We start from the raw sequence: 25,988 nt of genomic DNA, 5'->3' as shown, positions 1-25,988 counted from the left end.
CAGAGTTTGAAGACCTAAATCACCTGGTTATACAACTCCTGACAAAGGCACAGTTACCATCAAAAGACCCTAAGAATTACAATCAGAAAACCTGAGATCAAGTCAGGGCTCCAGCAATTATTAGCCAACATAATCTTAGACAAATTACTTTGGCCTCTCTGTGCTGCATTTTCCTCATCCATATAATGCACATTATAACCCCTTTCTCTCTCAGTGACTTATAGTGGGATTAACAGTATGTATAAACAGTAAACTGTGAACAAAAGCAAGTTTATATCATTATTTGGTATCTGTCAGTTCAATAAAATTTTACTGACCACTAACCCTATGTGCCACATGCTATACCAGATAAAAATTTGAATTAAGAGAAATTCCTCACTCTCAAAGAACTTACATTTTAATTGAGGAGGAAAACACATAATGAGAATAATTTCACCGTAATTTGGTCGTGTGCAGAATGCTGTGGGAACACAAAGGAGATATACTTAGCACAATCTTGGGACTTAAAGGGAAGGTTCTGGGCCACAGAGTTCCTATCAAAGGAAAAAGTAATGTCAATTTTTTATCAGTCCTAAACCATGTTCAAAAGCTAGATAGTCATATTATAAAAGTCATATGGTCACAGGTTAAGAATAAGCTTTCAGTTGTCACCTGGGGTAAAACTCTCATCAATTTACAACTTCCCCCAGAACCATTTATTTCATCCTCTACCACTCATCAAAATACCTTTCAAAAAATCTACTTTAGGGTACTTTTTCTTATCCTACAAGAATATTTCCATTTATAAAGCTGAAAGTTTTCAATTACATACTCCAAGGTCAAAACCTTCCTCAATGGAAAGGACAGTAATAAAGAGACCATAGCAATAGGTTTAGATTTCTACTTCGCCACAGCCCTAAATGAACTCCTTCGCTTCCCTCCTGCTCCTTTCCACAGCTGTCAGGACAGGCTCCCAGGCAACAACTCCCACCACTCTCCTACATAAGAAAAAGTGTTCTCTGGACCTCCTCTCAACCAGGCTCGGCCCTGAACCACCCAGGAGAAAGCAAGTCACTGTCTGTCTTCTATTAAATCCAAGACACCAAGGCCAGAACTCTCCACAACCCACCTGTAATCAGGACAAATCCTTTTCTTTCTTTCTTTCTTTCGTTCTTTTTTTTTTTTTTTTTTTTTTGAGACAGGGTATCACTCTGTCGCCCAAGCTGGGGTGCAATGGCATGATTATAGCTCATTGCAGCCTTGATCTCCCAGGCTCAAGTGATCCCCCCACCCCAGCCTCCCAAGTAGCTGGGACTACGGGCACATGCCACCACGACTGGCTATTTTGTTGTTGTTGTTGTTGTTGCTGTTGTTGTTGTTGTTGTTTTTAGTAGAGACTGATTCTCACTATGTTGCCCAGGCTGGTCTCAAACTCCTGAGCTCAAGCAATCCTCCCACCTCCTCCTCCCAAAGGACGAGGGTTACAGGTGTGAGCCACCCCACTCAGCCAGAATAAATCCATTTAAAGTAAATCTAAATCCATTAAAGCTGTACACAGATATACTCAATACCCTACAATTCCATTCCTAAACACATAACCAACAGAAATATGTTTTCCAAAATATGTGCTACAATGTTCAGAGCAGCAGTATTTGTGATAACCAAAAAAAAAAAAAGAAAACAAAAGCCAAATGCCTATCAACAATAGAATGGATAAATTTTGATAAAGTCAATCAGAATTGGGCTGAATCAAAATCATGTAATCTGATAGAATGCAATGAAAAGAACATAGCATAACTTCTGTTACAGTACTACTTGAAATGTCTAACTTGAATCTAGGCAGAAACATCAGATAAACCCAAACTGAGAGATACAAAATAACTGCTGATAATCTTCAAAAGTAACAAAGTCCATGAAAATCTAAGAGAAACTAAGAATCTATTGCAGACTGAAGGAGATTAAAGAGACGTGACAACTAAATAATACATGTGAATTAAAATTGCCTGTGGAATGTGATTGAGAAAACTGGTGAAACTTGAATGGGGTCTGGAGGTTAGATGGTAGTAACTTATAAACATTAATTTTCTTATTTGGATGTTGAATTGTGGTTATGCAGGAAAATGTTCTGTTTGAAGGAAATAAACACTAACAAGTATTGGGGGTGCCAAGACATCAGGCTGGGAACTTATTCTCAAATGGTTTAAAGAAAAAGTTGCTATTTTCTACTTAATTTTCTGTAAGTCTGTGATATTTCAAATTTTTTTAAAGTATTAATTTTTTAAAAAGTATGTTTGGAAGGGGAAGAATGAGTAGAAAGAAGTGAAGAAGAATGGAATTCAAAGTTCATAAATACTCTTATTTCTTAACAACAAGGTAGAAAGCTTAGGTGCAGTTGGCTGAAATGAATTTATTACAAACTTAGGAACCCAAGTTCTGTCTTTTCTCTCAGTATAGATCCCCCACTTCTACCCAGAAAGTAGAAAAAAATTGTAAAATTTTGCAAAAATCTGCCACATATCCTTCTTTCTACACTGGAATATTGGGATGATAAATCACAAATATACATAGAATATCTTGACTTATCTAAAATAAAAATGTGTGGCAAATGTAAAATTTTTTTTACATTTTTAAAGTTGCTTTCAAGGCAAATTTATAAAACAGTCAAAACTTATTAAAAATTTATTTAAACTTTGCAATACACAAAATCAGAAGTAGCTTTAAACCCAAAAGTAAAAGAATTTCAGATGCATTTTCATAGTTAGGTTTTTGGGCACTGGGCAGCTTGGCTTGAAAGAAATTACAAAGTGAAAAACTTTGTACATTTAATTCATATTCAGTGTCTTTTCTAGGTAGTAGACAATTGTTGTCTGCCTCCCCATCTTCATTCTCCCCTCTCCCCATTCCTAACAATCATCCATTTTTGTTTGGGATATTGTGGTTTCAGGAACACACTGACTCTCAGCTCCCATGATACCCCATCTAAAGGGGCAGACACATGATCTTAGGCTAGGCTATCCCTTAAACCACAATAGCTGCTTTAGTGATAGACATGTGATATGGGTTAAACTCTGTCCCAAGAAAATCATATGTTGAGGTACTAACCCCCAGTACCTCAGAATGTGACCTTATTTAGAAATAGGATTGTTGCAGATGTACTTAGTTACAATGAGGTCACACTGGAGTTGAGAGGTGACTGATATCCTTAGAAAAATGATACCCCAATATGACTGATATCCTTAGAAAAAGCAGAATTTGGGACATGCAGGGTGAATGCCATGTGAAGACTTGAGTTATGTTGCCACAAGTCAAAGAACTACCAGAAGCCAGAAGACAGATGTGGAATAGATCTTTCCCCAGCACCTTCAGAGGAAGCATGGCCATGCCGACACCTTGATTTCAAACTTCTGCCCAGGGACAAAGAAACTCTTTCAGATAGTATGCTATATAGAAATAAAGCCTGATCCCATGGTAACTATTTTTGCAACCATCAGAAAGCCAGACTGAGGATAAGGCATACACATAAGGGTAAAGACATATTCAGAGAAAGGGGTGAAACATTGGGCAAGCTATGTCTGAAGTCCATACTATAATCTAGACTTCTCACTTTTATGAGCTAACAGATTCTATTTATTGGTTAATGTAGCATAGGCTGTTACCTGCAACTAGAAAAGAAAATACTAACTAACGCAGACACTGATCTAGGTACCAGGATGCTTTCTGCTACTAGAGAAAGAGAATTCCACTCAAATATGAGTACCTAAGTTAGTGCCTTTAAAAATTAAAACTTCATTATCCCATGTAATAAAAAGTTTGGTGGTTCCAGAATAGGTTAATTCAGCAACTCAACGACAGCAACAAGGACTCAGATTCTTTCCATCTTTCTACATGTCTATGCAGCAAATTGGGTTGTCCCGAAGTTACCTGCCTCATCTCTAGATGGCTGTAGCTCTTCCAGGCATCACATTCAGTTACAACAATATCCAGAGGGGGGAAAAAAAGACTACTTCATCCCACATGCCTTTTTTTTTTTTTTTTTTTAGCAAGAAAAACTTTTTTCAGGAGCCCCCAAAGAACTCATACTTTTTAGCCACAATGACATTGTCACAGGCATAAATTAAAAATTTGGTAAGAAGGAAATGACTATGATCAGATTAATAGTAGCATTAACATGCCAGAAGTTTTCTGAAATGCACGGTGATATTTTTGGTTGTCATGGAGACTGGGGTCCACCACCAGCATTTAATAGATGACAGCTAAAACTATCCAATATGCTGGAAAATATTTGTCTATTTCACACAAAGAAGTGTGGTCTAAAATGTCAACAGAGAGAATATGGGTGAATAAAACTAAGAATAATAAAAGAGCAATGGCCAAACAGTAGACAAGTATCAGTGTCTTCCACAGTGGTGAAAGACACTATTCTTAGCTGTAACTAGAATATAATCTAGGGTAGTGACAGACAAGTAAAGAAAAAATTTAAAAGCATCAACTTTCATGAGGATAAAGAAATAACAGGATTAGGAATGGAGAAAGAATATTAACAGTTACTAAATACCTGTTATGCTAGGTGTTCTCATAAATTCCTTCATTTAATAAACACAGAGTTAGTATTTTAGTCTTCCCAAGTGCTGACATAGCTAAATTATACATATTTAGGTAACCCCAGAGAGTCAATAAAAATTTATTTATATCAGAAAATACTACAATTTTTAACTGAGAAGGAAAGCTTGGCATATGCTTACACTATAATCAGTACAGTTTAAAACAGCCATGTCACAAACCTTTGAAGTCTTCTTCTGCATTAGGTACAAAAAAAGTATTAAAAACTGACTCAGATTAAGAGACAACAACTGTAAAATATGTGTTTTACATATAAAAATGTGTATAGTTTTAAGATATCACCACTTAAGAGTCACACTTCCAACAAACTACTTAAAAATCACTGATCATGTCATTTGTTCAACACAGCTACCTCCAAATTCACCCAGTATGGAGCTACTCATTGCAGCACTAGCATATCACAGTGTTAGTACTTAAGATTTTCTTCTATATTGTCTTCTACTGATACCAAATACTAATTCAGAACAGAAATCTAGGAGTTATATCTACCACAGGCCACACTAATTGTTAAGAGCCATATACGAAGTCTATTTCTAAGGAAAAAAGACATGACCATGAAGAAACCCACAGAGGTTACTCACAAAATTAATCACTCAGCATTGGTATTAGTAGGATCAAGAAAAAAAACTTAAAAACCAACTATGGATAGTAACAAATAAAAACCTAGGAATTTTGGGATTAACAGTACAACATCATATGTAATCTGAATATCATTATGAAAACTGAATTAACTTATTTCCTAGAGAAACACAGAATAAAACTACCAGGGGTATATAACTGAAAGTGTGAACATGTCAGATACAGAAATCAAGTAAAATACTCACTGCCAAAGCCTTGGACAGTTTGGCTCTAAATTCATTCAGGATGATTGCCACAATGTCCTTAAGTGGTACGTAAGCAAAGCCATCTTCCAAATAGACTTTCCTTCCTCGAAACAAATCCAGAGCATCAGCAAAAGGGATCTGAATTAAGAGTAAAACAGGCAAAATAAGTCAGCACCTGTCATTAAGAAATCCTAAGTCTTCATATGTATAAAGTATAAACAAAGAAATTCATTAGTCCTAGCAGAGCCAAAAGAATATCAAAATGATTAATTTATCCTCCTTAAAACTCAACAGCATTAGCAAACAGTGGCAGTACAAAAATATGTTCGTTTCAGAGTTGATGTTTTGAAAAATAGTAACACTAAAAGGCCAAGTTGGAATGCTTACTTTTATTCCTTAACCTCTGAATTTACAAAACATAATCCCCAGGATTTCAAACTCTTAACTCAAGACTTCTACACATGTTGCATTCACCTCACATATCCCACTTTGTATTCTGCATCAGAGAGAATCCTAATTTGTAAACAACATATTCAGAGCTGAAAATTACTTGTAAGTAAATTCCAATTTCTTCATGTATGTTTCCATTCTCACTCCAGAGAAATATACTGAAAAAGCTAATCTCAGTACTAAGAAATGGAAATAATAAGCATTCAGTTTTGCTATTAAAAGAAGTATTTGCCCCAAGAATTTATTTTTAAAAATCTTAGATTTTTAAACCCTATGAACAATCTTAAAATTCTAAGAGATGAGCGAAGTATGATATTAGTAAACTGTAAAAATCATTCTTACTCTCCAATAGAATTTTTCTTTTTTAAAAAACGAGGTTAAAAAATTAGGTGAAAAATGATTCCCAAATTGCCTATTCATTCAAGTTTTAAGGAAGAATTAAATATAAATGCATACAATTTTCTGTATATCCAACGACATCTCACACTATAAACAGATCATGTGCTTTTTAACAACTTTCAATTAATTTACCTATTTCTACAACTGCAACACAGTCCCTGCCCTCATGGGCACACACGGAAAGTCAAACAGACCTACAGGGTAAATTGTGTGATACTGCACCAAATAGGTAGCTTACATAGGACATATCAGATGAGCAGGTAAGAGGGTTTACTGCAATAATATAGGGAAGAAACATGAGTTCTAGTCCAAGCTCTGATACTGACTAGACTTATTTGGTGAATTTAATGAATGCCTCTAAATCTCAGCAGCCAGATCTGTAAAGCTGAGAGAGGGGAGGAAGACACAGGCTAACTGACCCTTAGGGATTCTTTAGCCATAGTATTTCATGATTCTAGCTTATTAAGGTGGTCACAGTGGAAACAAAAATGCCCAAGTAGAAGCAAAAGATGATGTGAAGGCAGAGTAACTGGAAATGTGTGGTGTAAGAGAAATAAATATTGATCACCACACTCTAGGCTTGAAAGGCTGACTGAATGATGGCCCAACAGTCGAAACGAAGAAGCTGGAATGGGGCAGGACTTTAAACTACTGGCACTCACTCATAATAATTAGCACATTCTTTTCAAAGGAAATTGTGGGGTTGCAGTTATCAAATTGTAAAATGAATTTAAACTCTTCCCTCTTCCCCTTCTGGAAGGGTTCATGTGACGTAGTTATCTGAACTGAGTGGGGAGGGGAAACTGAGGTGGCCAAGCACAGGATGATGGAATCTGAGTAGGTTAAGGAGGGCATTCCCATAGGAAAAAACGTAGGCTTACAATGTCAGAGCCCAGTGGAATCACAGAGAGACCATGAGGCAAGACACCACGATGTCAGAGGTCAAGAGAAGCGAAAGGGGGCTTCCACGCAAGGCAGCAATCCAAACAGAGTGTTGGGCCAAATGGGTGATGAGGGTTTCCTGGCAGGGGATAGCCCAGTGCAGGGTGTAAGAACCCAAACAATGCAAGGAGGGTATTCCATTAGGAAAACAGCCTGTAATGGGAGGTCAGAGCCCAAGCAGGGTTGGGAATGCGTCCGTGGAAGGAGACAGCCCAGGAGAGAACATTGGCACACCATTAGTGCAATGAGGACAGTATCTGTGCAGGAGACAGAGTAGCTGTGATGATGAGAGGCTATAAAAATGGATTAATTAAATATGTATATAAAGCTCAATGCGACATATTTAACAAAACCTAGGAAGTATTTTACATGTTTACATACCTTATAAATGGACTCGAACCCCAACTTAAGTCCACTTAAACTTGGTGATGAGGCAACAATCTCCTGTTCTCGAAGAGTCTTCTCTTCATCACTTATCTAAAAAAACATATTTTAAGCTGTTACAAAAATTTGAAGTCCTCATTCAGTTTCAATAAAATGATTTCCTGTTTTAATGAATACTGTTTACTTTTATTAAAAATTTTAAAACCTTGATATCTCAAATCATTTCTAACATGATATCTGAATCACTATCATTAGTGAAGGCAAAATACAGAAAAAAACCTAAATTGAATATTCTTTCAAATTTCAACCCTGCCAATTTCTGAAGGTATACATCAAAAGAACAGTAGCAGACAAAGAGAAAATATTTTAATGAGAAAAAGGAAAAAACTTATCATAAAAACTCAGGTTAATATAGACTAAAAATGAGCATTATCCTAATTTGAGTTATGTTAATATATTAAAATATCCTAATTGAGGTTAGAGTGGTTTGACTATTTCTCAATTTTCTAGCCACATAAGACAATTCCAAACTTAAAACACTAGTTTTTCTAGGAACAACTATAAATTTATTATCTCAGACTGATTATGGCTTTATAAAAAATTGATAGATCTGATTAGTACAAGCGTTAAACTTCTATACCAAAACATATATATATTTTTGTAAATGAAGATGAAATATAAGTGACAAACTGAGGGAAATATTTACATCATCTGATGTGTGAGTTAGCCTCAGTAAGCCCCTAGTTGGCAGTATGTAAGCTTTCATAACCCAAAAGTAGTAAAACATGAACAGCCAATAGTTATATAAGTAAAAATAATAAATGCTAAATTAAAATAATAATGTGTACTATTTTCCATCTATCAAAATGGTAAAAGTTAAAAAGATTTAGAATACACAGTGTTAGGACAATCTTTGTGTACCATACTTTGATAATACATATCAAATAGCCTTTAAAAATGCAGATTGTAACTATTTTATTTTCAGATTAATCACAAGTAAATAACAGGACAAGCACACAAATAAAAACGTTTCTTTATTACAGTGTTATTTATAATAATAAAGAAAAAAACTAAATGTCCAACATGTATCTAGTTAAACAAACTGCAGTAGAACTTGCTGTTTCAGTAAAACAGGCTATATTATTTGGGTCAACCTCCTAGAGAAAACAAAACAAAACAAAACACTGATAAAATTTTTAAAACATCTTTACAGCACAGAAAGTTAATATACAAAGTCAGGCCCACACAAAGTGGGATATCTGACGAGAGACCTTCCTGCTCAAATGATGTAGGATATCAGGGAATCCCAAGCCTTGAACTTGTTTTAAGGCGGTACCTGATTCAAATGCCCAGGCACCTCGCAAAAGCAAACTCAAATCCTCTCTGGAGGAACCTTCACATTACACCTCAAAGTATTCCTACAAATAAATTTCCAAATACAATGTCAAGCACGTTGTATTTTATAACAAGGTATAGAAAAAAACTATACTTCACGAACAAAAACAACAGGGAAGAATTCACAAAGTTTACAGATAATAACTATGCTACCATGTGTACAGAAATAAAAGACAAGCACAATCTGTATGAAGTGGAAACTATAAAAAGTGATTTTTTTTTTAAAAGCAAAAGGCTGGGCACGGTGGCTCACGTCTATAATCCCAGCACTTTTGGAGGCCAAGGCGGGAGGATCACTTGAATCCAGGAGTTTGAGACCAGCCTGGGCAACACGGTGAGACCCCATCTCTACAAAAAAAAAAATTAAAACATTAGCCAGGTATGGTGGTATACACTTGTTATCTCAGCTACTTGGGAGGCTAAGGTGGGAGGATTGCTTGAGCCCAGGAGTTAGAGGCTGCAGTAAGCCATGATCACATTACTGCACTCCAGTCTGGGTGACACAGCAAACCATTATCAAAAAAAAAAAAAAGAAGAAGAAGAAGAAAAAGCTTTCTGATGTGCTGTTTTACATCACTGAATGGAACCTGGGTTTTCATTAAAAAGGTTCCAAACACACAGTTTGTAGAATCTAAGAAATGACATTTCTGAGCCCGTTGAGCCCTTACAGGAACATACAAACATCCAGCCCTAAGACCTAAAATCAAGCAATGTGCACAAAACCTTTGTGATGTGTTGTTTTATATCACTAAATGAAACCTGTGTTTTATTAAACAGGTTCCAAACACACATTTAGATGAATGTAAGAAATGACATTTCAGAGATGATTAGGCCTATATAAGGAAAAAGAGGAAAAAGAAAAAAAAATTTCTAGAAATAGACAAAAAAAATTTAGGCACAGAAATTTAAAACTCAATGGAGTCAGGAAGAAACCCCTGAAATTCCTGTAGCTGTGAACAATTACTTGAGGATGAACCAGAACCTTATCAGCCTTCACATGGATCTACAACCCATTTTCAACTTATCTAGTGATTCTGAGATCTCAGATCCCAGATTTAAATTAAAATTAGCCTGGACCAGCAATGACCCCAGGCCAATGAAAAAAAAAAAACAAATGAAAACCCTTCCAGAAAGATATAATCCTCCTAAGCTTCAATATAGTCCACACATAACTTTCGAAACACAATCTCCAGCATACAACAGTAACAAAGCACACCAGGAAATGAGACTCCATGAATAAAAACAATATAGGTAAGAACAAAAAAGTATCAAGATTGAAAAAGAAGAACTAAAACTCTATTTGCAGATTATATGATTTAGTATACTTAGAAAATCCAGAAGTATCCACGACAAATTATTAAAACTATTGGCCTAATTGAGTCAGGTTTCTGGATTCAAATATAGAAAAACCGGCAGGGTGCGGTGACTCACACCTGTAATCCCAGCACTTCAGGAGGCTGAGGCGGGTGGATCATGAGGTCAGGAGTTTGAGACCAGCCTGGCCAACATGGTGAAACCCCATCTCTACTAAAGATACCAAAAAAAAAAAAAAAAATTAGCTGGGCATGGTGGTGCACGCCTGTAATCCCAGCTACTCAGGAGGGTGGGGAAGAAGAATTGCTTGAACCTGGAAGGTGGAGGTTGCGGTGAGCCAGATTGTGCCACTGCACTCCAGCCTGGGCGACAAGGCGAGACTCGGTCTCAAAAAATAAAAAATATAGAAAAACTAATTGTATTTCTATATGCCAGCAACAAAATTCAGTAAGGGAATTTTTTAAGCTACAATTTACAACAGAATTAAAACTATCAAGGATCTAGGAATAAATCTAACAAAATATGTGCAAGGCCTTCACCAACAAAAATATAAAATCTTAGAGAAACTGGAGAAAAATTAATTAACAGAGATACCCTAAACATCAACCAGAAAACTTAATATTGTAAATGTTTCAAATCTCTTCAAATTAACCTATAGATTCAATACAATCCCAAATAAAATCGTAATAGCTTTTGTGTATGCCTCTGTGTGTGGACGTTCTGGTTCTAAAATGTACATGAACATGCAAAGGGCCAAGAACAGCCAGAACAGAAATAACAAAAAAAAGAGTCAATCCAATAGAAAAATTAGCAAAAGACATTAACAGGCACTTTACAAATGAGAAAACTCAAAGAGCCAAAAAATGTATTAAAAGATGCTCAACCTCCTTAGTCATCAGGGTTTGAAACCATAATGGAAACCTCAATGACATACCACTACATGACAATTAGAATGGTTAAAATATACAAATGGCCAGGCATGGGAGTTGGCATCTGTAATCCCAGCTACTTGGGAGGCTGAGGTGGTTGGATCGCTTGAGGCCAGGAGTTTGAGACTAGCCTGGGCGACTAAGTGAGACCCCCATCTCTAACAGGGTCTTGTTTGTTCACCCAGGCTGGAATGCAATGGTATGATCACGGATCACTGAGTAATTGAACTTTCTGAGTAATTGGGACTACAGGCACAAACCACCATGCCCAGCTAATTATTCTTAAATTGTTTTAATATTATATTTTTTCTTATAGAGATGGGATCTCCCTATGTTGCTCAGGCTGGTCTTGAACTCCTGGGCTCAAGGGATCCTACTCCCTTGCCCTCTCAAAGTGTTAGAATTACAGATGTGAGCCACCATGCCTGGCCATTTTTTAAATTTTTTATAGAGACACGGTCTTACTATGTTACCCAGCCTAGTCTCAAATCCCTAGAATCAAGTGATTCTCCCACCTTGGCCTCCCAATAGGCTAAGATTACAGGCATAAACCATTATACCCAAACTAAAAAAAATTTTTTTTAATTAGCTGGGTGTGATGGTGAGTACCTAGTAGTCCCAGCTGAGATAGGACTACAGACACACACCATTACACACAGCTACTTTAAAAAAAAAAAAAAAAAGGCTGAGGCGGGAAGATCTCTTGAGCCCAGGAGTTTAAGGCTACAGTGAACTATGATCACACCACTACCCTCTAGACTGGGCAACAGAGGAAGGGTCAGCATCATCCTTATACCAAAATCTGGCGGAGATACAACAAAAAAAAGGAAAACATCAGGCCAATATCCTTGATGAACACTGATGCAAAAATCCTCAACAAAATACTTGTAAACCGAATCCAGCAGCACATCAAAAAGCTTATCCACCACGATCAACTTGGCTTCATATCCAGGATGCAAGGTTGGTTCAACATACACAAATCAATAAATGTGATTCATCACATAAACAGAACTAAAGATAAAAACCACATGATTATCTCAATAGATGCAGAAAAAGCCTTCAATAAAATTCAACATCCCTTCATGTTAAAAACTCTCAATAAACTGGGTATTGAAGGAACATACCTCAAAATAATAAGAGCCATATATGACAAACCCACAGCCAATATCATACTGAATGGGCAAAAGCTGGAAACATTCCCCCTGAAAACCCGCACAAGACAAGCTTGCCCTTTCTCACCACCCCTATTCAACATAGTCTTGAAAGTTCCTGCTAAGGCAATCAGGCAAGAGAAAAAAATAAAGAGTATTCAAATAGGAGGAGAGAAAGTCAAACTATCTTTGTTTACAGATGACATCATCCTATATCTAGAAAACCCCATTGTCTCAGCCCAAAAGCTTCTTAAGCTAATAAGCAACTTCAGCAAAGTCTCAAGATACTAAACTAACATGCAAAAATCACTAGCATTCCAGCTGAGTGAGGTGGCTCATACCTGTAATACCAGCAATTTGGGAGGCTGAGGCAGGTGAACCACCTCAGGTCAGGAGTTCATGACTGCCCAACACGGCGAAACCCCGTCTCTGCTAAAAATACAAAAATTAGCCGGACATGGTGGCACACACCTGTAATCCCAGCTACTCAGTGGGCTGAGGCAGGAAGATCACTTGAACCTGGGAGGTGGAGGTTGTAGTGAGCTGAGATCGCGCCACTGCAGTCCAGCCTGGGCGACAGAGCAAGACTCTGTCTCAAAAAATAAATAAATAAGGCCGGGCGCGGTGGCTCACGCCTGTAATCCCAGCACTTTGGGAGGCCGAGACGGGCGGATCACGAGGTCAGGAGATCGAGACCATCCTGGCTAACATGGTGAAACCCCGTCTCTACTAAAAATACAAAAATTAGCCGGGCATGGTGGCGCGCGCCTGTAGTCCCAGCTACACGGGAGGCTGAGGCAGGAGAATGGCGTGAACCCGGGAGGCGGAGCTTGCAGTGAGTCGAGATCGCGCCACTGCACTCCAGCCTGGGCGACAGAGCGAAACTCCGTCTCAAAAAAAATAAATAAATAAATAAATAAATAAATAAATAGCATTCCTATACACCAACAATAGCCAAGCCAACAGCCAAATCAAGAAGGCAATCCCATTTACAATTGCCACAAAAAGAATAAAATTCCTAGGAATACAGCTAACAAAGGAAGTAAAGGACCTCTTCAAGGAGATCTACAAACCACTGTTCAAAGAAATCAGAGATGACACAAACAAATGGAAAAATATTCCATGCTCATGGATAGAAAGAATCAGTATCATGAAAATGTCCATACTGTCTGATGCAATTTATAGATTCAGTGCTAATCCCATCAAACTACCACTGACGTTCTTCACAGAATTTTTTTAAAACTATTTTAAAATTCATATGGAACCAAAAAGGAGCCCAAATAACCAAGACAACCCTAAGCAAAAAGAACAAAGCTGGTGGCATCACACTACCCTATTTCAAACTATACTACAGGGCTACAGTAACCAAAAGAGCATGGCACTGGTATAAAAACAGGCACATAGACCAATGGAACAGATTAGAGAAACCAGAAGTAAGACTGCATGCCTACAACACTTGATCATCAACAAACCTAACAAAAACAAGCAACAGGGAAAGATTTCCCTGTATAATAAATGGTGCTGTGAGAACTGGCTAGCCATACATAGAAAATCGAAACTGGACCCTGTCCTTATACCATATACAAAAATCAACTCAAGATGGATTAAATACTTAAATGTAAAACCTAAAACTATGAAAACCCCAGAATTGGCATTACCAATCAGGACATAAGCACAGGCAAAGATTTCATGATGAAAACACCAAAAACAATTGAAACAAAAGCAAAAATTGACACATGGGATCCAATTAAACTAAAGAGCTTCTGCACAGCAAAAGAATCTATCAACAGAGTAAACAGACAATCTAAAGAATGGGAGAAAATTTTTGCAATCTATACATCTGACAAAGGTCTAATATCCAGTATCTATAAGGAACTCAAATTTACAAGAAAAAAAAAAACATTAAAAAGTGGACAAAGGACACGAACAGACCCTTCTCAAAAGAAGACATACATGCGGCCAACAAACACATGAAAAAAAAAACAATGTCAGTGATCATTAGACAAATGCAAATCAAAACCACAATGAGGTACCATCTCACACCAGTCAGAATGGCTACTACTAAAAAGTCAAAAAACAACAGATGCTGGCAAGGTTGTGGAGAAAAAGGAATGCTTTTACACTGCTGGTGGAAGAGTAAATTAGTTCAACCATTGTGGAAGACAGTGTGGGGATTCCTCAAAGACCTAGAGGCAGAAATATCATTGAAGCCAGCAATCCCATTACCGGGTATATACCCAAAGGAATATAAATCATTTTATTTTTTTATTATAAAGATACATGCACACATATGTTCACTGCAGCACTATTCACAATAGCAAAGACATGGAATCAACCCAAATGCCGATTAATGATACACTGGATAAAGAAAATGTGGTACATATACACCACGGAATACTATGCAGCCTTAAGAAGGAATGAGCTCATGTCCTTTGCAGGGACATGGATGGAGCTAGAGGCCATTATCCTTAACAAACTAACACAGCAACAGAAAACCAAATACCACATGTTCTCATTTATAAGTGGGAGCTGAATGATAAAAACATATGGACACTTGGTGGAGAAAAACACACACTGGGCCTTTTGGAGGGTGGGAGGTGAGAGGAGGGAGCGCATCAGATGCTGGGCTTAATACCTCACTCACCATTTATTATATGAAAGTTGAAATACAGCAGAGGATGAAGTTTAGTTGTGTCAATCTAGTAGATTATTCAAAAGTTGATGATGACTGAAATCCATGTGTACTATCTACTAGTTACTATGCTATTTTACTTATACTATCTCACTTAATCCTACTAATAACCCTATAAGCTGGATATTATCCTAGTTTTATAGCTAATTAATATGAGTAGAAACCAAACTGGATTTCCAACCAAAGTCTATCCAATGCTAAGGTCCACTAGGCCATGTGGTCTCCAAACAAATAAACAGATACTACTTTGCAGGAAAGCTAAACAAACATGTAACATTAAAAGCAATGGAAGACAAATTCATCAACTGGAAACTTTCACCTCAATTCCTCTTTGGTGATGGACAAGATAAAGATACAGAAACTAAAAATGTAATACAACTAGATGCCATGAGAAGTTTTATAAGTAAAAATTTTAAAGGGTCAGAGCACAAATTACAGATAATCAACACTCATTGTAGAGTATGTAAATTGAGGTTTAGCAATAGCAAATATTTCCCTAAGAGCTAAAGCCAGATTATTTTGCTTTCGTATTTGCTATGTTTACATATATCTCTGTTGACAGTAACTTTTCTACTTAATTGACTATTTACCTTTCACTTTGCATTCCATAAGGGAAATTCTCTGAAACTCAAATAGGCAACCAGACACACAATGCAGAAAATATCTGAGAGGAAGTAGCTATTTTAAGTTTTAGAGCCAAGTTATAATTCTCAAACAGCAATTAATGAAGGAAGAAACTGATTGGGGAGATAGGGTGAAAGGAGAAGAAATCTTCATGTCTTCACGATGCTCTTTCATTGCTTTTTAAGTAAGCATCCAACCTAAATATAAAAATATATTTCAAATTTTCCCAGTAAACATTTATCTGAAATTAAATAAAATTTTAATATACATCTCTGTGTTCCCCACCATTAATAAGAATAATTATAATTGATTACATGTATTGTTTGTTGCCCAAATAAATCTTGCCTAGATCTGGCAAAACTGAAATTGAAGCCAAATGTGTTAACCTGTCATGATCCTTTTATAATCACCTTTTACCCAGCAATAAAGAAACTAGTATCTTTGAACATACAGATGTTTGTCCTAATATTGTTTTAGGTTCTAACTAAACAAATCCCACATTAATAACTAAGTACCACTAATACTTCACCTAGCATAATATAGTATCTCACCTTTCCCTAAATTCAAGTATTTGTATTACTGATACCACAGTTATTTCTAACTTGGTAAGCAATTAACTACTTACCAAGTAAATGTCAGGGAAGCACACATCAGTTCAACTGCCACACAACAGAATACTTTAGCTACAACAGACTTTACTTCTCCAAATAGTCTTCTGCCTTGGAAATATACAAGATATAATTTTGAAAAAAAAAAAAAAACAAACCTCAAGAACTTAAATAAAAATTAGAGTTTAATGCAATATTTCTTCTCATTGAAATCTACCCCCACCCAAAGAAGAATAAAAGCTATCTAGTCTTGCTCAGATTAGAAGTTATAGATAAAATTCTGGGCTGGGTGCAGTCACTCATGCCTGAAATCCCAGCACTTTGGGAGGCTGAGGTGGGCAGATCACCTGAGGTCAGGAGTTTGAGCCCAGCCTGGCCAACATGGTGAAACCCCATCTTTACTAAAAATACAAAAATTAGCCGGGCATGGTGGCCCACGCTGTAATCCCAGCTACTCAGGAGGCTGAGGCAGGAAAATAGCTTGAACCTAGGAGGCAGGCAAAGGTTGCAGTGAGCTGAGATCGCACCACTGCACTCCAGCGCAGGTGGCAGGGTGAGACTCCATCTCAAAAAAAAAAAAAAAAAAAGCTATAGATAGAATTCTAAGGAATTCAATGTGTTTCTAAACTTTTCACCCAAAGTAAGCAAACACACTCTAAATCATGCACTTCGATCTAAATTTCATGTCACTTCCTGTTTCATGGCCTATGAGTAAATATTCTGGTTTTCTTTGATGAATTAAAAAATACATCCATTTGTCAAACAAATTCTAAATCTTCATTTATCTATTTAGTTATAACCAAAATGGAAATGGAAAATACAAGACAATTCTCATTGAAAAATGTAGGATGACTGTCAGAAACTTTACTATTAAATAATTAGTATAAACTGCTATTAACTTCATTATTTTGAAATCCTAAAATAATCCTGAATATTCTCTTTACTCTTGCTTTCTCCTTAAAAACTATTGGACAAAATATAAGGATATTTCATTTATTTAGGTTCTCCTAAATGAGATTACCTGCTGCATACCTAAAAAAAATACTCATTCTCTGAAAGAGCAAGACAAGATTAAATGGCTTCCTACTTCTACTAACAAAGAATACAAGTAAAAACAGATAGAGTGGAACAATTATAAAAGCAGAGTAAAGTAGTAGAGAGAATAGTTTTCAAAATCATAGAAACCTGTCTTTGAATCTTAAACAGGTTAGTTAACCTCTTTACACCTTAGTTTCTTCAGGGATAAAATGAAGAAAATCATACCTATCTCATGTAGCTTTTCTTGGGATTAAATAAAGTATGTAAAGTGTGTACAATAGGCCTAACATACAGCACACCCTTAGTACATGGTAAACACTTGTTGTTACTACCTGTAATTTACATTTTGATTAGTTTCTGTATTTCAGGCTTTTTCCTCAAGTAATAAAGTGAAATGTTTACTGCAACTAATGCAGTTTCTATAAACTTGTCATTTCATTAAACTAACACAGGTCTTGGTGTATAGGGGAATTCAAAATAACTGATAAAAGCCAGCTAGGTTATCACTGCAACATCTTATAATCAAGGTGTAGTATGCTTCACAAAGTAAACATCCTCCTAAAAAGAGGTGTATAAACAAATGGCTCAACATGAAACACACATTTTTTGAGTGACTTACATTACTATTTTAGAGATGCTCAACCTTCACTCTGATTAATGTCCAATCAACAGAGACTCTGAACATTCTAGCTTTGAAGTTCTGCTCTTGCCACTACTACTCATAATTCCCCACATCTCAATCCCTATTATTCATATCCACCCACTCAACAGTCAGTACCTGAATGTTTCAAATGGTAGCACATGGTATAACGGTATAGTTTTTTATCAAGTAAAAATTACACTGGGTTTTAACTGTTTTGGCAAAGTTATATTTCCATATTCCAAAATTATGTTGTTTTATATGCTGCCTTGCTAACAGAATTAAGGATTTTGGCTGTGTGTCTTTTTCTTTTTTATATTCTTCATCAAACCAGGAACTGAGAGAGGCAATTTCACTCTGTTGAAATCCTGAAAGCAGATTAAGGAGCAGCTCTAGAGAGGCAAATACTCTACACAGTAAATAGAAGGGTAGTGGATGTCTGTGTAGACTGTATCGCTATTCACCCTGTACTGAGTCCCTCACTGAGGGAGAATTATACACCCCCTACCTGCTGAACTAAAGTGTAGCCAAGTGACTTGCTTTGGCCAGTGAAATGTGAGTGGAAGTGACGTGTGTTATTCCTAAGCAAAAGCTTTCTGAGCATGTATTTTACCCAGTTCTCTCCTCCTTTTGCCGCAGCAACTGGTGAAGTTCCGGTATACAGAGCCTACTCGATCTGCCTGAGTCCAGGGACAAAATGACACACAGCAGGGTTGTAGCTGGCCCATGAAGACACAGAATATGAACAAGGAACAAACCTTTCTATAAGTCACTGAGGTTTGGGGGTCGTTACCAATGCATAAACTAAACTGACTGGAACAGTGACCTTCATCTTTGCATCACACATTGTCATCAATGAAGTTTTTTCAGCACATACTTCCAATATATGTATATTTATTTATAAATTATATGTATGTATTACTGTACATTCTGCACTTAAAACATGCCATACCCATCCCCAAAATGTGGAACGGATGAGACTAAAAATATATGTTGTATTATTTATTTCTTTCCCACATTCCCAAATGATCATCTTGGGGATGCCATGTTGGAACCACTAGTCTAGTACACTGGCATCAAAAGTAAAGATATAAATAAGGCTTCCCAGAGATTTAAGCTTCTATAAGCTTCCAATCAACAATACTCAATCACATTTATAAATAGTTTGGATAGTTTCTATTTGAATCTACAGAGCTTTCTTAGACCCTGGTCATTAAGTAAGTATGTACATTACTTGCCAGTGAAGCTTTTTAAAATTACAGATTCCTGGTGCCACCCAGACCTACAGACTGAAGCCCTGAGCTGTATGTTTTTTTTTAAGGTCCATTAGTGGTTCGACATACATCACTGGTCTAAACAGCATATCCCAGGAAAAGAATCCGCTTTTCTAAAATAAATGTATGATATATATATGATATATATAAAACAATTAGGAATCATTTCATTTATAAAGAAATTAAAACTGTGAATAGATCAAATGCTGAAAGCAAATATCATAATTTTTAATACTGTTATTATCATTTCAAATAAATATAGGTTCTATATTGGTAGCAAATACTGTGATTATAAAGGGCAATTTGTTTCCCAAATGCACTGTGATGTAATCATCAATCTGGAGTACATGGGGATTAAAGATGGCTGCAAAGTCTTTGACACATCCTCCGTTGAGAGCTAAGATCTATTTGCCCTCCCCTTGAATCTGGCCTGGCCTGTGACTACTTTGACAGGAACGAGTGATGCCCTGCCAGGCCCAGGCCTATTTTTTGAGAGGACTGGCAGATTCTGCCTTGTTCACTTGGAGTCCTAGATCATGAAGTAAGAAGTCCAACCACCTCGTTTGAGGGATCACATGGAAAGGCGTCCAGCAGAGTCCAGCCTTTTAGAAGTCCTCACATATGCACAAGCATGTGAGTAAAGCTGTCTTAGACATCCTAGACCAGACTAGTTGTCAACTAAGAAAGCCCATATATAATACTATGTGGAACAGAACAATTGCCCTGTAAGCCCATTCTGAATCCCTAACCCTCGAAAGTGTGAGATATAATAAGATGGGTACTGTTTTAAGTTTTAGAATTAAGTTTTGATTTTAAGTTTTAATGTTAGGTTTTGGAATTGTTGTTTTAGGTTTGGAGGTATTTCTGACACAGTGATAAATAACCCAAATATTTATCAACCTAAAATAAGTTAGTTTTAAACATTTTTTTCTATCTGTAATCCAGTTCTTACAAAGTACTTTCTTCATTTAAATGTATAAAGGAGAGCCATATAATAGGAAAAAATTTTAATTGGAAAATCTTTAACAAAGAGACAAAAATAGAAAATAAAAAAGGAAATAATTACCACTCTGTGGCTGAATTAATTAACTAAAATTGATAGGATAGTATGGTACTTCACTCACAAATTTTTTTGTCATTTATAATCATCCAAAACATTAAAAGTTAGAAAATGAATAATTTAATATCCTGACATTCTAATTAGTATGTTGATGTCTCAGTAATACTGTCAAGCTAATCAATATAAAAATCAATTGTCTGGTTACTTTATTACTGTTTTTTTAATAGCATAGGCACATTTGGAATATAGTAAAATTAACACTAAAAAGGAAAGATTATTTACTTATACTAAAGCATATTTCATCTCTTCTACAAGAAAACAAATATTTTTGAAAAAAAATAGGTAATTTAATCAAGACCTCTACCTCCTTGCTATCTCATGAGAACACCGTGCTAGCATAAATTAACATAACTTTATTCCCTCCTTTTTCCTCCACCCTAGCCAGCTGCTCCCCACTTACAGATTATTGCTCTCCACGTTTCAATGCCTCAAGTTCATCATATCCTTCTGGCACCTCATTATGGTGACCAACCATCCCAGTTTGTCCAGGAATGAGAGGTTTCTAAGGATGTGGGACTTCCAGTACTAAAACTGGAACAGGCACGGTCCAAATCCAAATCTTGTCGACATCACAACATCCACTTTCTTGCCACTGTCCAAATGGACTGCTACACCCATATGGATGATCCAGTCAACACTAGTTTCACAGTCGTCAGCATCCTCTGACCCACTCACCCTCCACTTCTGCAGCCCACTCCCACGATCACAGCACAATTCACAAGCAACGCATCACCCCTACCCTCACACATTTTCCCCAACCACATCTCCATGTCCTTCCTGCTCACTTACTCCATTATCCCCACTACACAGGCTCTTTGTGTCCATCAAAGTTCCTTTTTATCCCAGGCCTTTAAACTCTTTCTAGTTTCAATTTTCTTCCCCTAAAATACTTTGCCCTCCAATTATACCAACCTATCTGCACTTCCTATAGCGCACCATGTCTTTCTTTCACTTCTATGACTTTACACATATTTCCCACATCTGAAATGTCTTTCTATACCCTGTGTTTCTACTGGCAAATTTCTATGCAACTAACAGGTTACCTCTGCAAAGTTGCACCAGATTTCCTTAGGCATAGTTACTCCCACCTCCATGCTGGTACATACCTGTCTGCTTGAAGATACAGTTTTTTTTTATATTATTTATGTACAATACTATAAGCATTTATATCTCCCTCACTAACATATGAACCTAAGCACAGGTAAATGTGTCATAACGATTATATTCCCAGTTCTTTTTTTTTTTTTTTTTTTTTTTTTGAGATATGGTCTCACTCTGCTGCTCAGGCTGGAACAGCTCACTACAGCCTTGATCTCCCAAGCTCAAGCAATTCTCCTGCCTCAGCCTCCCAAATAGCCTGGGATTACAGGCGTGCTAACGCGCCACCATGCCCAGCTGATTTTTAATTTTCTGTAGAGACCGGGTCTCATTATGTTACCCAGGCTGGTCTCAAACCCCTTAGCTCAAACAATCCTCCTGCCTTGGCCTCCCAAAGTGCTGGGATCACAGGCGCGAGCTACCGCACACAGCCTATATTCCCAGTTCTTACCACAATACCTGATGAAATGTTTACTGACTGAAATACACAAACTATGGAAAGTGACAATATTCAAACTGAAGAAATACAGAAAAGCTTAGAATAAGAGAAAAATAAATATTCTGTGTGATGAAACCCCAAAAGACTAAAAATTATTAATGATAGGATGTAATAAAATAAATTCATCAAAAGATAAAAAACAGATTAATTCACGAAAAGGCACAAAAATTCATACACACAAAATAATGTTCAATTCCGCTAATAATTAAAGAACAGTTAAGAAGTTGCTAGACCAACAAGCAGTAATAAGGCAGTCCTAGAATTGGCACTGTGACAGAGATGGAGGGAAAACATGCAATTAAGAAAGATAGAAAGGAAATACCAAGAAGTTATGACAGAATCATGCCTGAGTGAATGTAACAGCAGTGCCTTTAATAAAAATCATCTTTCCTGACAGTTTCTCCAGATGAGCACAAGGGCAGTTAAACAAATTAAAGAAATAATACTTCTCTATTAATTTGATATAATAATTTAAGAAGCTATTTTAACTTAAATTTTTAAAAAATCTTTATAATTCTTTAGACCATCACCTCTCCAGCCCAGTAAGCTGTCTTGACTTGAGGCTCAGAATATGTTAAGGGGAGAGGGGAACAATTTGCAACATCACCAACAGCACAGCAGCAGATGGGCTCCGTGCTATTAGCAGTTTCTGATTTCTTAAGTTATTCAGATCTACATCTCACTGAAAACAACAAAAATGATGGACAAAACACTTAAAAATATTAGCTTAACAGCATTTTAAAAATACTGTTAAACTAATATTTAGTTTAAAAGGGAACTTGTTGGCCAAATTTTGAGGCAAACCCAGGAGAACTAATGCCATTTTTGCTCTGAGGACATTAGTAAATGCCATCTCCTCATACTTCAGATCTTCAGTCTCAAGGGGCAAGGTAGCAAAACACAAGGATTAGGGCCTGCCAAGCGGAAGACTCTTGCAAGAGGCCCTCCCTATATTAAACTGGAGACCCAAACGAAGAACATCTTCAGAGAAAGAGTGAACTAGAATTGACCCACCATCTCTCTCCTAACCACAGAAGAACGAAGGGCAAGCTGACTTGTCACTGAGCAAAGCAGGAAAAGAAAAAGGTAGGAAAATGAAGTTTTTGAGAAGCTGTGGCCACCCAAAGTATATATGGTGTGGATGGGCCAGAGACACAATCCTAAATACGGTTTAAAAAGTGTCCTTGACTTAATACCTGACATAATACCCCTAAAGTAATACTCTCAGAAACCTGGCAAAAGCAAACACAGTACCTCTCAGAGGAGAGCACATTCACCCTGAAAATGTCCTGAAAAAAGGCTGTGGGAGGGCAATAACCAGTTAAAGATAACCAACCACGCAAGGAAATAAGGCAACATGGGTGAAAGACAATCACAAACCATAGCAGGAACAGACCACACAGATTTTAACTCTTAGAATTATCAGACAGATTAAAAAGCAACCTACAACAAATTTGAAAAAGAAAAGCAAATATTAAAATATCTGCAAGGAATAGGAATCCATAAAAAGCAACATAGCAGATGTGAAAAAAAAAAAACAAATAAATTACAGTAGCCAAAATTTAAAATTCAATGGGAGTAGAACAGACAAAACAGAATATAGAAATAACAAACTGGGAAATAGTTCAGAAAAAATAATCTGTAACTCAGCAGAGAAAGAACAAAAAGAAGGAAGACACAACCTGAGGATGAAAAGTGAATGACTAAGAAGACCTAAAATACAGTTGACTAACACACCAGACAGAGAGGAGAAAGAACAGGTAGAGGGAAGTTTAAAAGCAATAATGGCTGAGAATTTTCCAGAATTAATATAAGACACCAATCTACAAATTCAAGAACGCTGGTGAAACTCAAGCAGGATAAATAAAAAGAATTCTACTCCTAGACAAACAGAATATTTAAATCAAACAAAAGTAAATTAAATAGAATATCTTAAAAGGAGACTAAGAGCAGGGTGGCTGTCTTACCTTCAAATGAGCTACAGTTAGACTAACAGCTGATTTCCCCACAGCAAGAGGAGAAGCCAGAAGGCAGCAGAGTGATATATCTTAATGTGCTAAAAGAAAGTACATGCCAACCTAGAATTCTACATCCAGCAAAAATGTCTTCCAATAAAGGAGACAATCTCTTATTTCTTCTTTGGATGAAAAGGTATAGTATATAGTAATAAAACATAAAAAAACACATTTCACTTGAAACTAATGCAACATGAAGACAGACATGTATGGAAAGATGAACATTTAATGTTTTCTTGTATGTCTCCTTTATACTTATAAACATATGATATTTTATTACTAATTGCTTACATATATAATTGTGTCATGGTTCTTCAGTAGATGAGTAGACCCAAGGGTGATGGACCATTTCTATGTTTTCTTGGGTCTCCCCTCTACACACTCTCACCCATACTTTGCCCAGTTTGGGAAATACTAACTACTGAGATGGTCAATAGTTCATGACTGAACTCCTAAGATCATAATTCACTTTTACCCAAATGTAGTTGAAATTTTATTTCAATAATTTAACATTAAATATTAGATTAACAAACTTTCTGATCTTATATTACTAAACCTTACAAACAGTAAATATTTAATGAATGATAAGCAAAACTTTAATGAGAGTAAGCATGCTTTCACAACTGAAATTTGTACCCACCACCACCCCGGTTTCCCTATGAGCTAAGTTAAACTGATCAAGTCTTTGAAATTTGCAACCGTTTCTTTAATTACAAACTATTTATTTCAAGCACCCAGTTAATTGGCAGAATGCCTATTTTTTCACACAGCTTTCTCTTACTGAGCTTCAAATTTTCTTCTTTATGACATCTCCTTTATGTTATCTTCTGCAATAACCTTTTGGTGCACAATTAAAGGCCTCTCAAACTCAATCTTCTTTGAGGCTCCAACTGGCAAGTGTTTTCCAAAAAAAAAAAGGAAGTAATTTCCCTTTCCCATTTTTACAATGTAGCCCAGTAGAAAACTGTTCAACTTAACTTGGTTCTACATTTCTAAATCATGCAGCATCTTGGACATTTTCAAGATCATTGAAAGAGAGGCAGCCAGATTCTGAGTCATGAAAGATATAATGATAACCGAAGTCTTCCAAGCCAAGCAGCTAACAGTAGCATAGTACAAAAAAAAATATGGCTTTCCTTAGCTGGAGAGGAAAGGGAGAAACTTGCTTTGAGTCAACATGAACCACTGATGCAGCCACGTTTATTCAAGCAATAAGAGTAAGGAAAAATAAATTCCAAAAAATAAATTGATTTGTAGCAATTTTCTCTTATAGACCATAGGAAATCAAATCTTTGGCAATTTTTAATAAGTCAGGTGTTACTAAATTTATATTTCTATCGTATATTTCAAATTCATATGGATGGTAGAATACCAGCTATTTTTTTACCTGGTGTGAAGGGAAGGGAGGTGTTTATTCTAAAAGATGCTCAAATATATATATTTGTAACTGAAAATATTAGAAGTCAGCTCTATGGCTTTGACAAAGGTATCCTATTTGTTGACCCAATTCAATATTTTTAGTTCCTCAGAAAATTATTCAGACATTTAAAGTTGCAGTTGGCACATGATATTCCATCCATTGGAGTATCTCTGCTACCTCCTTTCTGCCTTATCTTTTAAGATGCTGTTCACAGCTGTCAGCTCAATGACGCCTTCCTACATTAATCCAGCCCATGGCAATGCCCACTTTTTTTTCCCCCTATAACCCTTGTAGACCATATTAAATATTCTGACACCAGATTATTTTACCTTGTTCTGTTTCCTGAAATCAGTCTTTTCCTGCTCTCTTCAACTATAAACATGTTAATGCAAATCTTCCATAACATACAACACAATGCTGGACACACATAAAGCATTTATTAAATATTAGCTATAAAATAATATAAAGGACAACAGTGGCTCCAGAATTTCTACATAGGATGTGCTTAGGAGTGGGATTTTGCTAGGGAACTTATCTTAAAAGACACATTTGCATAGAAAGCACACTTTTTAT

General features: G+C 36.4%; 1 protein-coding gene across 7 annotated transcripts in view; it reads right to left on the bottom strand.

The window, feature by feature from the left end:
• Positions 1 to 25,988, bottom strand: part of PRIM2 (DNA primase subunit 2) — a 425,311-nt gene that overhangs the window by 259,259 nt on the left and 140,064 nt on the right. For 6 of the 7 annotated variants that reach the window (XM_047418987.1, NM_000947.5, XM_047418988.1 and 3 more), the window contains exons 6-7: positions 7,596 to 7,691; positions 5,424 to 5,561 (exon numbers count right to left, since the gene is read on the bottom strand). In XM_047418987.1, coding sequence (XP_047274943.1) covers positions 5,424 to 5,561; positions 7,596 to 7,691 — 234 coding nt within the window. Of the gene's footprint in view, positions 1 to 5,423; positions 5,562 to 7,595; positions 7,692 to 25,988 lie in introns of those variants that run through there. The other variant, XM_047418993.1, reaches the window with a different exon arrangement.

Source organism: Homo sapiens, chromosome 6, assembly GCF_000001405.40.
Source record: "Homo sapiens chromosome 6, GRCh38.p14 Primary Assembly".
NCBI classification, from domain to species: Eukaryota; Metazoa; Chordata; class Mammalia; order Primates; family Hominidae; genus Homo; species Homo sapiens.
This window is presented reverse-complemented; position numbering and strand designations above follow the sequence as displayed.